The sequence below is a fragment of the Homo sapiens genome, chromosome 17 (genome assembly GCF_000001405.40).
Source record: "Homo sapiens chromosome 17, GRCh38.p14 Primary Assembly".
Taxonomy (NCBI): Eukaryota; Metazoa; Chordata; class Mammalia; order Primates; family Hominidae; genus Homo; species Homo sapiens.
The window spans coordinates 19462133-19477007 of record NC_000017.11 but is presented as its reverse complement, the minus strand read 5'-3'; the positions used below and the strand labels follow the sequence as shown (position 1 = coordinate 19477007).

Sequence of the window (14875 nt, the reverse complement as noted above, 5' to 3'; positions counted from 1 at the left end):
ATCTAAATATAGAGGAAAAAAATCCTCAACAAAATCCAGAGCAAACCACATTCAGCAAAATGTAAAAAGAGCTATATGACATGCCTAAGTGGGATTTGTCCAGGGAATATCAGGCTGGTTTAAAATCCCAAAATCAATTAATGTAAGACACCATATCAATAGAATCTAAAAAATCCAATAGACATGGAAAAAGCATTTGACAAAATCCAACACCCTTTCACAATAAAGTCTAGGAAAGGGAAGTCAGCATCCAACAGTCTTGGAATAGCGTGGGATTTTTATTTTTATTTTTATTTTTATTTATTTTTTTATTGATCATTCTTGGGTGTTTCTCGCAGAGGGGGATTTGGCAGGGTCATAGGACAATAGTGGAGGGAAGGTCAGCAGATAAACAAGTGAACAAAGGTCTCTGGTTTTCCTAGGCAGAGGACCCTGCGGCCTTCCGCAGTGTTTGTGTCCCTGGGTACTTGAGATTAGGGAATGGTGATGACTCTTAACGAGCATGCTGCCTTCAAGCATCTGTTTAACAAAGCACATCTTGCACCACCCTTAATCCATTTAACCCTGAGTGGACACAGCACATGTTTCAGAGAGCACAGGGTTGGGGGTAAGGTCATAGATCAACAGGATCCCAAGGCAGAAGAATTTTTCTTAGTACAGAACAAAAAAAAAGTCTCCCATGTCTTCTACTTTCTACACAGACACAGCAACCATCCGATTTCTCAATCTTTTCCCCGCCTTTCCCCCCTTTCTATTCCACCAAACCGCCATTGTCATCATGGCCCGTTCTCAATGAGCTGTTGGGTACACCTCCCAGACGGGGTGGTGGCCGGGCAGAGGGGCTCCTCACTTCCCAGTAGGGGCGGCCGGGCAGAGGCGCCCCTCACCTCCCGGACGGGGCGGCTGGCCGGGCCGGGGGCTGACCCCCCCACCTCCCTCCCGGACGGGGCAGCTGGCCGGGCGGGGGGCTGACCCCCACCTCCCTCCCGGACGGGGTGGCTGCCGGGCGGAGACGCTCCTCACATCCCAGACGGGGCGGCGGGGCAGAGGCGCTCCCCACATCTCAGACGATGGGTGGCCGGGCAGAGACGCTCCTCACTTCCTAGATGGGATGGCGGCCGGGAAGAGACGCTCCTCACTTTCCAGACTGGGCAGCCAGGCAGAGGTGCTCCTCACATCCCAGATGATGGGCGGCTGGGCAGAGACGCTCCTCACTTCCCAGACGGGGTGGCGGCTGGGCAGAGGCTGCAATCTCGGCACTTTGGGGGGCCAAGGCAGGCGGCTGGGAGGTGGAGGTTGTAGGGAGCCGAGATCACGCCACTGCACTCCAGCCTGGGCAACATTGAGCACTGAGTTAACGAGACTCCGTCTGCAATCCCGGCACCTCGGGAGGCCGAGGCTGGCGGATCACTCGCGGTTAGGAGCTGGAGACCAGCCCGGCCAACACAGCGAAACCCCGTCTCCACCAAAAAAATACGAAAACCAGTCAGGCGTGGCGGCGCGCGCCTGCAATCGCAGGCACTAGGCAGGCTGAGGAAGGAGAATCAGGCAGGGAGGTTTGCAGTGAGCCGAGATGGCAGCAGCACAGTCCAGCTTCGGCTCGGCATCAGAGGGAGACCGTGGAAAGAGAGGGAGAGGGACACCGTGGGGAGAGGGAGACCGTGGGGAGAGGGAGAGGGAGGGGGGAGGGGGAGGGAGAGGGAGCGTGGGATTTTTCTAAAGGGCACCTTAAGAAAAGCCTACAGCTAACATTGCACTTAATAGTGAAAGACAGATGTTTTACCCCAGTCCTAAGATCAAGAACTTAGAAGACCATCACTTCTTTTAAACCTTGTAGTAGAGATTTTAAACAAAAACAAGAAATAAAAGTCATCTAGATTGGAAAGGAAGAAGTAAAACTATCCCTATTCCAGATGAATCCACAGGATATGCAGAAAATCCTAAGGAATCCACTAAAACGTTTTAATTCCACAAGTTTGCAGGATAAAAGATTGCTATGCAAAAATCCATTGCTTTTTTTTTTTTTTTTTTTTTTTTTTTTTCAGACAGATTCTCACTCTGTCGCCAGGCTGGAGTGCAGTGGCGTGATCTCAGCTCACTGCAACCTCCGCCTCCCAGGTTCAAGCAATTCTCCTGCCTCAGCCTCCCGAGTAGCTGGGACTACAGGCGAGCGCCACCACGCCCAGCTAATCTTTGTACTTTTAGTAGAGATGGGGTTTCACCATGTTGGCCAGAATGGTCTTGATCTCTTGACCTCATGATCCGCCCACCTCTGCCTCCCAAAGTGCTGGGATTACAGGCATCAGCTGCTGCGCCCAGCCAAATCCATTGTATTTCTACATACTAGCAATGGGCTGGGTGTGGTGGCTCACACCTATAATCCCAGCACTTTGGGAGGCCAAGGAGGAGTGCTTGAACTCAGCAGTTCACGACCAGCCTGGGCAACATAGCAAGATCCCATCTCTTAAAAAAATGTTAAAAAAAAGAAATTAAAAATAAAAAAATATATACTAGCAATGAATAATTCAAAAATAAAATTAAGAAAATAATTACATTTTAAATATCCTCAAAATAGTAAAGTACATAGGAATAAATTTAATAAGAGAGGTATAAAATTTATACTCTAAAAACTACAAAATTTCATTGAAAGAAATTTAGAAAGACCTAAATAAAACTTTCCACGTTCATGGGTGGGAATATTGTTAAGATGTTGGTACTTCTGAAATTGATCTAGAGAATCAATGCAATCCTATCAAAATAATGACTGGATCCTTTGAGGAAACTGACAAGCTGGTTCTAAAATCTGTGTGGGTACTCAATGCAGCAGCGTAGCCAAAACAATCTTGAAAACAGAACAAAGTTGGAGGACTCATACTTCTGGATTTCAAAATTTACTATAAAGCAACAGTAACTAAGAGACGGTGGTACTGGCATGAGGATAGACATATAGATCAATGGAATAAAATTGAGAGTCCAGAAATAAATTCATGTATCTATGGTCAACTGATTTTCAACAGGGCTGCAAAGACCATTCAGTGGAAAAATAATAGTCTTTTCAACAAATGGTTCTGGGATAACTGGATATCCACATGCAAAAGAATGAAGTTGTATGCCCACTTCATGTCATGTACAAAATTAAGTCAAAATAGACCAAAGACCAAAATGTAAGAGCCCGAACTGTAACTCTTTTAGAAGAAAACATAGGGCTAAGATTTTGTGAGCTTGGATTCTTAGATATGATGCCAAAAGCATAAACGACATAATAAAAAATAGATACATTCGGCTTCATGAAAATTAAAAACTTCTGTGTTTCAAAGGACACTACCAATAAAATGAAAAGACAGCCCACAAAATGGGAGAAAATATTTGCAAATCATATACCTGACAAGGAATTCATATCTAGAATATTGTGTTAGTCCTTTTTGCACTGCTATAAATAAATACCTGAGACTGGGTAATTTACAAAGACATCTATTTGGTTCACAGTTCTGCAGGCTGTACAAGCAGGCAGCCGCATCTGCTCAGCTTCTGAGGAGGCCTCAGGAAGCTTACGATCATGGCAGAAGGCAAAGAGGGAATAGGCACATCACATGGCAAGTGGGAGAGTGGGAGAGAGGCGAGGAGGTGCCAGGCTCCTTTTAACAACCAGTTCTCTAGTGAACTAACAGAGTGAGAACTCACTTATTACCATGGGGAGGGCACTGAGCCATTCATGAGGGATCTGCCCCTGTGACCCAAACATATCAAATATATAAAGAACTCTTACAATGCAATAATAAAAAGACAAATAACTGGATTTTTAAAATAGACAAAAGATCTGAAATTTCCCCAAAGAAGATATACAAACTGGCCGGGCGCGGTGGCTCACGCCTGTAATCCCAGCACTTTGGGAGGCTGAGGTGGGTGGATCACCTAAGGTCAGGAGTTCGAGACCAGCCTGGCCAAAGTGGTGAAACCCTGTCTCTACTAAAATACAAAATATTAGCCGGGCCTGGTGGTAGATGCCTGTAATCCCAGCTACTCAGGAGGCTCGGGAGGCTGAGGGAGGGGAATTGGTTGAACCCAGGAGGCAGAGGTTGCAGTGAGCAGAGATTGCACCACTGCTCTCCAGCCTGGGCAACATGAGCAAAACGCTGTCTCAAAAAAAAAATGTATATATATATATATATATATACACACATATACACACACACAAACAAACTGCCCAACGCCCATGGAAAGATGCTCAGTATCAATTGTCATCATGGAAGTCTAAATCCAAACCACATTGAGATGCCACTTGACACCCACTAGGATGGGTATAGTAAAAAAAGACAAGTCATAACAAGTGTTGGCAAGAAGTTGGAGAAGTGTTGACAAATGAAACCCTTAAATGCTATTGGTGGGAATGTAAAGTGTTGAAGCCCCTTTGGGAGATAGACTGGCAGTTCCCAAACTAAACAGTGTCACCATTTGACCCAGCAAATCCACTTAGATTATATCAAAAAAAATGAAAATATATATGCACACAAAAACTCTTACCTAAACATTCATGGTATGTTCACGGTAGCCAAAGATGGAAACAACCCAAATGTCCATCAGCTGATTACCAAATGTGGTGTATCCTACACTGGAATATTCTCCAGCCATGAAAAGGAATGAGATACCGATCCATGCTCCAACATGGATGAACTTTGGAAGCACATGCAAAGGAAAGAAGGCAGTCACAGAGGACCATGTGTACACTCCATTTATGGGTGTGTGTGTGTGTGTGTGTGTGTGTGTGTGACGGAGTTTCATTCTTTCGCCCAGGCTGGGGTGCAATGGTGCAATCTCAGCCCACTGCAACCTCCGCCCCTCGGGTTCAAGTGATTCTCCTGCCTCAGCCTCCCGAGTAGCTGGGATTATAGGCACCCACCATCACCCCCAGCTAATTTTTGTATTTTTAGTAGAGATGGGGTTTCGCCATGTTGGCCAGGCTGGTCTCGAACTCCTGAACTCGGGTGATCCACCCGCCTTGTTCTCCCAAAGTGCTGAGACTACAAGCGTGAGCCATTGCGCCCAACCGACTCCATTTATATGGAAGTCCATAATAGGCAATCTTAGAGACAGGAAGTAGATTAGTGGTGTCTAGGGCTGCAGTGGACGTGGGGGATTTGGGAATGACGACTAATGAGGACAGAGTTCCTGTTTGGGGTGATGGAAATGTTCTAGAATTGATTGTGTTGATGGTAGCTCTGCTCTGTGAATATATTAAAAACTATTGACTGCTCACTTTATGTTGATGAATTGTATATGAATTATATCCTTTTTTTTTTTTTTTTTTTTTTTTTGAGACGGAGTTTCGCTCTTGTTGCCCAGGTTGGAGTGCAATGGTGCGATCTTGGCTCACTGCAACCTCTGCTTCCCAGGTTCAAGCTCTTCTCCTGCCTCAGCCTTCCAAGTAGCTGGGATTACAGGCATGCGCCACCACGCCCAGCTAATTTTATTTGTATTTTTTAGTAGAGACGGGGTTTCTCCATGTTGGTCAGGCTGGTCTCGAACTCCCGACCTCAGGTGATCTGCCCACCTCAGCCTCCCAAAGTGCTGGGATTATAGGCGTGAGCCACAGCGCCCGGCCTGAATTATATCTTAATAAAGCTGTGACATGACCTGGAACCCCTAGGGTCCTGCTGAACCCAGTCTCCCGCTGTCTGCCACACTCAAAGCACGCCTGCCTTCCATCTAGCCGTTGCTCCTGTCTTCTTCCTACAGTGCCACCTGCCCAGAACCGCTCCACGGTCCATGGAGATCGGTTTACTTCTCTTTTCGCCTGCTTCCGCAGCCAAGACTCAACTCCCTCCCATCCATGAGTTCTCTTGGAGTATCTTTGTGTAAACAAGGTCTCAGTAACTAAATCCTGTTTCCATCTCCCTGCATCAGTGTTCTCTGGCTGGGTGGGCGGAGCTCCTTTGGCTCGGTCCTGCTGATGTCCTTAAAGGCCTCAGCCCGTGGAGTCAAAGCCTGGGGCCAGCGGCTGCAGGATTCTAAACACTGTGAGTGCTCAGTTGCGCAGCTGGGTGTGGGACTGTGTGACGGCAAGAAGCATCCAAAGGTGGACGTGGCCAGGGATGGGAGGAGCCATCGGAGAGGTGGTAAGGACAGCGACCGAGTTCCCCGAGAGAGGCGAGTCTTAGTAATTCGGGAATTCAGCCCCCACGACTGTGGTGAGTGAGGAGGAAGAATGCGGAATTGAGAGATGGAAAATGAGGCAGGCACTGGCCCCAGCCCTGGAAAGCCGTCCCTTCTCCTGTTCTGAAAGCCGACTTCTCCCACCTGGACGTGCACCCCATCTCCCCGGGAGGCCCCGGAGCCTGGCTGCAGTCCGTCTGTCTGCCTGGCTCGCCGCCATGGCTTTGCTCACCCCTCTCATCTTTGCCATGTTATCTCTACACTTAGGATTTGTGGTTTGTCTTGTACACTAATAAACGGCAACTCTATTAGGACATGAACAGTGGCTTTAAAATTTTTCTGACTCCATGACTCTCTTCATGGTATATTGCACACAGAAAGCCACTGGTAAATATCTGTTGATTGAAGCACCTCAAAAATCCAGAAATAGAGCTGTGTGCAGAGTGAGTACTTAATTCATTCAGCCATTCAGCAAGTATTTATTCAATGTCTATTATGCATGGGTGTGGTCACTGCCATGGACACAGAGACCACTATCCTGAACAAAGCAGACAAAATATTCATCCTCGCCAGGCTCACGCCCATAATTTCAGCACTTTGCGAGGCCAAGGCCAGAAGATGGCTTGAGCTCAGGAGTTTGAGACAAGCCTGGGCAACATAGAGAGACTCCGTTTCTAGAAAAAGTACAAAAATTAGCCAGGCATGGTGGTGTGCGCCTGTCATCCCATCTACTCAGGAGGCTGAGGTGGGAGGACGGCTTGAGGCCGGCAGGTCAAGGCTGCAGTGAGCTATGATCTCACCACTGCACTGCAACCTGAGAGACAGAGCCAAACCCTGTCTCAAAAAAAAAGGTTCGGCCGGGCGCGGTGGCTCACGCCTGTAATCCCAGCACTTTGGAAGGCCGAGGCGGGCGGATCACGAGGTCAGGAGATGGAGACCATCCTGGCTAACACAGTGAAACTCCATCTCTACTAAAAATACAAAAATTAGCCGGGCGTGGTGGCGGGAGCCTGTAGTCCCAGCTACTCGGGAGGCTGAGGCAGGAGAATGACGTGAACCCGGGAGGCAGAGCTTGCAGTGAGCCGAGATGATGCCACTGCACTACAGCCTGGGCGACAGAACAAGACTCCGTCTCAAAAAAAAAAAAAAAGGTTCATCATGATGGCACTTAAATTTCAGTGATGTGTATGTTTCCCCCACACATACACTAATGAAGGAGGGGAGGTTCCTGGAGAGCAGTGAAGGACTTTAAATATTCATGACTATGTCGTGTCTTACCTTAAGATGTTCGAGGCGGTTATTGAACTAGCCATTAGAGGGCACTCCAGGCACCGAGGGAGGAATAAGCCTGTGCTTGATTTTCCAGCCCCTGAAATTGGTGACCCGGGTTGGGCGCAGTGGCTCACGCCTGTAATCCCAGCACTTTGGGAGGCCAAGTGGATGGATCACCTGAGGTCAGGAGTTCAAGACCAGCCTGGCCAATATGGTGAAACCCTGTCTCTACAAAATATACAAAAAAAGTACCTGGGTGTAGTGGCGCATGCCTGTAGTCCCAGTGACTCGGGAGGGTGAGGCAGTAGAATCACTTGAATCTGGGAGGCGAAGGTTGCAGTGAGCCGAGATCGCGTCACTGTACTCCAGCCTGGGCAACAACAGTGAAACTCCGTCTCTAAATAAATAAATAAGTGATGGACATCCCATTTACCTCCTTGCCCCTTGGTTTCTATTCCCAAATCCTGGGCTTCAGTTTGATCTTGGACAAGCTTTATTCTTTGGGTCATGGGTTCCCTATCTGTAGAATGAACATTTTGGATGGATGATTTGTGAGGTCACACATGGGTCAGATTTTCTTTTTTTTTTTTTTTTTTTTGAGATGGAGTCTTGCTCTGTCGCCAGGCTGGAGTGCAAAGGCGAGATCTCGAGATCTCAGCTCTCCACAAACTCCGCCTCCTGGGTTCAAGTGTTTCTCCTGCCTCAGCCTCCCGAGTAGCTGGGATTACAGGTGCGTGCTACCACGCCTAGCTAATTTTGTGTTTTTAAGAGACAGGGTTTCACCGTGTTGGCCAGGATGGTCTCAATCTCTTGACCTCGTGATCTGCCCACCTCGGCCTCCCAAAGTCCTGGGATTACAGGCGTGAGCCTCTGCGCCCAGCCCTGGCTCAGATTTTCTAGGGTTCAAATATTCGCATGTGGGGGGATCTTTTGTCATACTAATTCATGCATTTCCTGGGTCTTTGAGATTTTTGAAATCAGATAAATCCAATGCACAGGCTCATGTCTGTAATCCCAGCACTTTGGAAGGCCGAGACAGGAGAATCACTTGAGGTCAGGAGTTCAAGACCAGCCTGATCAACATGGTGAAACCACTTCTCTATTTTAAAAGAATACAAAAAGCGGGCCGGGTGCGGTGGCTCATGCCTGTAATCCCAACACTTTGGGAGGCCGAGACAGGCAGATCACAAGGTCAGGAGTTCAAGACCAGCCTTGAACTCCTGTCAACATGGTGAGACCCCGTCTCTACTAAAAATACCAAAAACTAGCCAAAATCTCTACTAAAAATACCAAAAATTAGCCGGGTGTGGTGGTGTACACCTGTAATACCAGCAACTCAGGAGGCTGAGGCAGGAGAATTGCTTGAACCCGGGAGGTGGAGTTTGCAGTGAGCTGAGATCGCGCCATTGTACTCCAGCCTGTGCAACAAGAGCAAAACTCCATCTCAAAAAAAAAAAAAAATACAAAAAGCCAGGAGTGGTGGCTCACACCTGTAATCCCAGCACTTTGGGAGGCTGAGGCAGGTGGATCACCTGAGTTCAAGACCAGCCTGGCCAACATGGTGAAACCTCATCTCTACAAAAAATACAAAAATTAGCCAGGCGTGGTGGTGCATGTCTATAATTCCAGCTACTTGGGAGGCTGAGGCTGGAGAATACTCGGGAGATGGAGGTTGTAGTGGGCTGAGATCATGCCACTGCACTCCAGCCTGGGTGATAGAGTGAGACTCTGTTTCAAAAAAAAAAAAGTAGGCCAGGTGCGGTGGCTCACACCTGTAACCCCAGCACTTTGGGAGGCCAAGGCGGGTGGATCACGAGGTCAGGAGTTCGAGACCAGCCTGGCCAACATGGTGAAACCCCGTCTCTACTAAAAGTACAAAAATTAGCTGGGTGTGGTGGCGCACGCCTGTAATCCCAGGTACTCAGGAGGCCAAGGCAGGAGAATAGCTTGAACCCAGGAGGCGGAGGTTGCAGTGAGCCGTGATCCTGCCACTGCACTCCAGCCTGGGCTACAGAGTGAGACTCTGTCTCAAAAAAAAAAAAAAAAATGATGCACAATATATTGCCAGGCTCAACAATCCACAGCCACTCCAGGGGATCCCCAGAGCCCCAGGCCACCCGTGGTGTGGGCTTTAGCAACTTTGACCCGCACTCTGCTCTGGTGCCCTCTCCTGGTCAGACCCTTCTGCTCAGGGCATCATGCACGGCTGGGGGGCCTCAGCCCTAGAGGAGCAGTTCAGAGATTAACCCACTTCAGTGTAGAAGCTCCCCCACCTCCCAACAGAGGCACTATGTCTCTTGGTGGAAAAACAAATTTCACTGTCATTTTCTTCCAGCCCTCTCCAACCCACAGCCTAACTTGGTCTCCAGTTAAATGACTGTCTTCTGGAAGCCTGTACATAGTTTAAGATGGGTCTCTGCAGATACACTCCCAATTCCTTGGACTTTCTGCTCATTGGCAGTGAAGCTCTGGGAAGGCAGAGGAGAGGTGAGCAGTGCCTACAGGAAACCCTGCCAGGAGTTCCACAGGCTGGCTGGCTCTGCAGCTCCTCTGCACCCCAGATCATCCCAGGGCCAGGTAACAGACAACTTGGGACACTCTACACCGCAGAGCCTGCGGAAATTATTCAAACTAACCAACCCTAAGCCTACTCACCTTGCCTTGCCCATTCCTTCCAGAGAAAACCCAATAAAGCCTTTTATCCACGCCTTCCCCTCGCTCCTGCCTTCTGGCCAACCTCAATGCTTCTCTGCATGGCCCTGCATGGGGTGGCGTGCTCCCTCCTCTTGAGAACTGTAACTTTTTTTTTTCTTTTTTTTTTTGTGGTGGGGTCCTCACAGTCTCACTCTGTCACCCAGGCTGGAGTGCAGTGGCACAATCACAGTTCACTGCAGCCTCCACCTCCTGGTGCAAGTGATCCTTCTGCCTCAGCCTCCTGAGTAGCTGGGACTACAGGCACGTGCTACCACGCCTGGCTAATTTTTGTATTTTTGTAGACAGAGGGTTTTGCCATGTTGCCCAGGTTGGTCTTAAACTTCTGGGCTGTCTCAGCCTCCCAAAGTGCTGGGGGTGAGCTACCATGCCTGGCCAAGTAATTAGCTTTCTTTTCTTTTCCTTTTTGAGATGGAGTTTTGCTCTTTTGCCCAGGCTGGAGTGAAGTGGTACAATCTCAGCTTACCCCAACCTCCTCCATCCCCCGGGGTTCAAGTGAGTCTCCTGCCTCAGTTTCTCGAGTAGCTGGGATTACGGGCACCCACCACCAAGTCAGGCTAATTTTTGTATTTTCAGTAGAGACAGGGTTTTGCCATGTTGGCCAGGCTGGTCTCAAACTCATGACCTCAGGTGATCCACCCACCTTGGCCTCCCAAAGTGCTGGGATTACAGGCATGAGCCACCGTGCTCAAGTAACTAGTTTTCAATGGCAAATGTCTCCAGATCTGTAAGCCTTGCCATATCTGTATAAAAAGCAACTACCAGGTACATTTTAAAACACTGATCATCATGGCATCCTTGGAGCTGTGTTCTGGGAGAGGAGTATGCAGGAGCCCTCCTGGAGCTCACTTGGAGGGGGGCCTCTGGGCCAAGTGACTGGAGCAAGCAGAGGGGAAAGACACCCCTCTTCACTTTACCCATCATGGATGGTTAACCTCAGAGACCATTAGGCCCAGAATGAGCCCCAGAGTGACCTTAATCCCCTTCATTTGCACATGGGGTTAATGAGACTCAGAAGGGAAGGGAGACACCAACTGCAGAGACAAAGTGACCATTTGGGCTGCAAACCTGCCGTGTTGACTCTGATTAGCTCCAGTCCCAGGAATGCCTCCTGATTCCTACACTTAATCAGGAACACCATGGAACACTGGTGTTCCATGAAAGGGCCTGGACTTAATTTCCTGTCCTTAGTGTGAGAACGTGTCAACCCTGATGTTATCACACAAATTCTAGGCTATGATGCACAGCATTCCTGCCTGCTCTGGATTGCTGCCATTGTCTCTGTAGAGCAATGCACACTTTCTCCATGGTGTACAAGCCCTGGGTCTGGGAGTGTGGACACCTGTCTTGCTGTCACCCAAGACCATGCTTCTGCCTTAAATTCCCCAAATAAACCACCCTTTGCTGACACACTGGATGTGTGTGCCTTGTTCTTTGGTTTCTCAGCTCCTTCTGCGTTTGGGGCTGCTTTGCGTATGTGGCCCTTTCACAGAGCACCAGTGTTCACACAGCACATGGGAAATATGATCTCATTGCTCTCCTTGCCACCCCCCCCCCACTTTTTTTTTGAGATGAAGTCTCGCTCTGTCACCCAGGCTGGAGTGCAGTGGCGTGATCTCAGCTCACTGAAACCTCCGCCTCCCAGGTTCAAGCAATCCTGCCTCAGCCTCCCAATAGCTGGGATTAGAGAGATGCACCACCACCCCCAGCTAATTTTTGTATTTTAGTAGAAATGGGGTTTTGCCATGTTGGCCAGGCTGGTCTTGAACTCCTGACCTCAGGTGATCCACCCGCCTTGGCCTCCCAAAGTGCTGGGATTACAGGCATGAGCCACTGCAACCAGCCTCATTGCCCCTTTCTGACCTGCTCATAGCCTAAGCCCAGGCTAAAAGTGAAACAGGAAAACCAGTCCCCATTCTTCACCCCACAGAAGCCTGGGAGCTAATCCTGATGTTGTAAATGGGATATGGGGAACCTGAGGTGATGGGGAGAGAGTGTTGAACAAGCCTGACTCTGTCCAAGCCAGGCACAGGACCAAAGGACCTGAGTCGCTGACGTCAGAGAGTGCTTTACTGGGCTTCTCAGTCTTGTGTGACCCTGGGCAGGTTTTTCGTCTGGTCCTTTAGGCTCCGAATAAATGATGGCAAAAACTTGGTCTCCAAATTCTATGATGACTTCACCAGAAGATTCGTATAAGGATGTTCATAGCAGCTTCATTCATAGTATCCCCAAACTGGAAATATCCCAGGATTCCACCAATAGCAGAATGAAAAGCAATCTGTGGTCAGGCACACAATGGAACACTGCTCAGCAATAAAAGCACCGCTGGCACACACAGCCTCACGCTGCACAAAAAGAACATAGTTCCCAACGGAGAACATATTGTATGAGCCCATGAATAGGAGGTTCCAGAATAGGCAAAACTTACCCAGAGTGGGAGAAAAGCAGAACAGTGGTGGTCTTTGTGGGGACAGAAGCCTTACCCAGGCAGGAGCAGAGTCGCAGAGCACAGGAGCCATGGATATGGTCCCAGTGAGGATGCACTGCTGGCTGCATGTGCCTGGCCAGGGTGTTCATATCACTGGGGGGGACAGGCTTTGTGCTGGCTGCTCCCCGATGAGTAAATTAACATGTGGACTCACTTAGGTGGAGAAAATGTACTCAGTGAGGCTGTGAGTGCCAAGCGTGTCTTTCCCCTCTCCTGCAAATCCAAACTTACTCATTAGGGCTCTGAGTTTTTGTTCCTAGGCTTTATTTACATTTTCTTCTCCGGCTTGTGCCACGTGCAGTGAACACGTGTCACATTGCAGTTTTCTACAGGGTTCCTCCTTGGAGGTTTTCTTTTTTCTTTTTTTTTTGAGATGGAGTTTGGCTCTTGTGGCCCAGGCTGGAGTGCAATGGCATGATCTCGGCTCACCACAACCTCCACCTCCCGGGTTCAAGTGATTCTCCTGCCTCAACCTCCCGAGTAGCAGGGATTACAGGCATGCGCCACCACGCTTGGTTAATTTTTGTATTTTTAGTAGAGACAGGTTTTCACCATGTTGACCAGGCTGGTCTCAAACTCCCAACCTCAGGTGATCCACCTGCCTCAGCCTCCCAAAGTGCTGGGATTACAGGCATGAGCCACCACACCCAGCGGAGGTTTCCTCTTCCTACTCAGGTGTTCAGTACACAATGCTCTGTCCCACACCCTGGCTTCTATTCCCCTGTTGCCCAGGTGTCCTGAGGCTCTCTGGATGTGTTAGGTCATTCTTGCATTTCTATAAAGGAATACCTGAGGCTGGGCAATTTATTGGATTGGTGCAAACATAATTGCAGTTTTTGCTACTTTTTCTTAATGCAAAAGCTGCAAATTACTTTTGCACCAACCTAATATAAAGAAAAGAGGTTTAAGTGGCTCACGGTTCTGCAGGCTGTACAGGAAGCAGGGCACCAGCATTTGCTCAGCTTCTGGGGAGGTGTCAGAGCTTTTACTTGTGGTGGAAGGGGAAGTGAGAGCAGCATGTCACATGGGGAAAGCAGAAGCAGAGAAAGCATTGCACCAGTGAAGCTGCACACTTAAACAACCAGACCTCAGCAGAACTCACTATCACGAGGACAGCACCAAGCCACGAAGAATCTGCTCCCACGATCCAAGCACCTCCCTCCAAGCCCCACCTCCAACATTGGGGATTACATCTCAACGTGAGGTTTGGGCAGGGACAAACATCCAAACTCTATCATTCTGCCCCTGGCCCCTCCAAATCTTATATTCTTCTCACATTGCAAAATACAATCATGCCTTCCCAATAGTCTCCCAAAGTCTTTTTTTTTTTTAGACAGTGCCTCACTCTGTTGCCCAGGCCGGAGTGCAGTGGCACTATCTTGGCTCACTGCAACCTCTGCCTCCTGGGTTCAAGTGATTCTCATGCCTCAGCAATCCGAGTAGCTGGGATTACAGGCATGCGCCACCGTGTCTGGCTAATTTTTGTATTTTTAGTAGATGCGGGGTATCACCATGTTGGTCAGGCTGGTCTGACCAACTGGCTTCAAGTGATCCACCTGTCTTGGCCTCCCGAAGTGCTGGGATTACAGGCATGAGCCACCATGCCTGGCCCCAATAGTCTCCCAAAGTCTTAACTCATTCCAGCATTAACACAAAGTCCCATGTCCAGGTCCAGAGTTTCATCTGAGACTCATTTCCTTCCTCCATCTATAAGCCTGTAAAATCAAAACAAGTTATTTACTTCTAAGATACAATGGGGAAGTGGGCATTGGGTAAACATTCCTGTTCCAAAAGGGAGAAATTGGCCAAAAGGAAAGGGCTACAGGCTCCAATTAAGTCAGAAACTCAGTAGGGCAGTCATTAAATCTTAAAGCTCCAGGCTGGGCATGGTGGATCATGCCTGTAATCCTAGCACTTTGAGAGGCCGAGGCAGGTGGATCACTTGAGCTTGAGAGTTTGAGACCAGCCTGGACAGCATAGCTAAACTTCATCTCTACATATATATACACACACACATATATATAATATTATATATATAATATATCATATAATATTAATATTATATATTATATATAAACATACACACACATATATTATACATATTATATATAATGTATAAACATACACATATATATTATATATATAAACATACATATATATATATAATCTGGGTATGGTGGTGTGCACCTGTGGTCCCAGCTACTCAGAAGGCTGAGGTGGGAGGATCGTTCGAGCCTGGGAGGTGGAGGTTGC

General features: G+C 48.4%; 3 annotated features.

Annotated features, from left to right (window-relative positions):
* Positions 1065–1902: an enhancer, noted in NCBI's record as "H3K27ac-H3K4me1 hESC enhancer chr17:19378419-19379256 (GRCh37/hg19 assembly coordinates)". NCBI's record gives its function as "activates a minimal SCP1, AML or CMV promoter by ChIP-STARR-seq in naive H9 embryonic stem cells {active_cell/tissue: H9 hESC(naive)}" and the evidence as "EXISTENCE:reporter gene assay evidence [ECO:0000049][PMID:30033119]".
* Positions 5497–6006: an enhancer, noted in NCBI's record as "H3K27ac-H3K4me1 hESC enhancer chr17:19374315-19374824 (GRCh37/hg19 assembly coordinates)". NCBI's record gives its function as "activates a minimal SCP1, AML or CMV promoter by ChIP-STARR-seq in naive H9 embryonic stem cells {active_cell/tissue: H9 hESC(naive)}" and the evidence as "EXISTENCE:reporter gene assay evidence [ECO:0000049][PMID:30033119]".
* Positions 13555–14100: an enhancer, noted in NCBI's record as "H3K27ac-H3K4me1 hESC enhancer chr17:19366221-19366766 (GRCh37/hg19 assembly coordinates)". NCBI's record gives its function as "activates a minimal SCP1, AML or CMV promoter by ChIP-STARR-seq in primed H9 embryonic stem cells {active_cell/tissue: H9 hESC(primed)}" and the evidence as "EXISTENCE:reporter gene assay evidence [ECO:0000049][PMID:30033119]".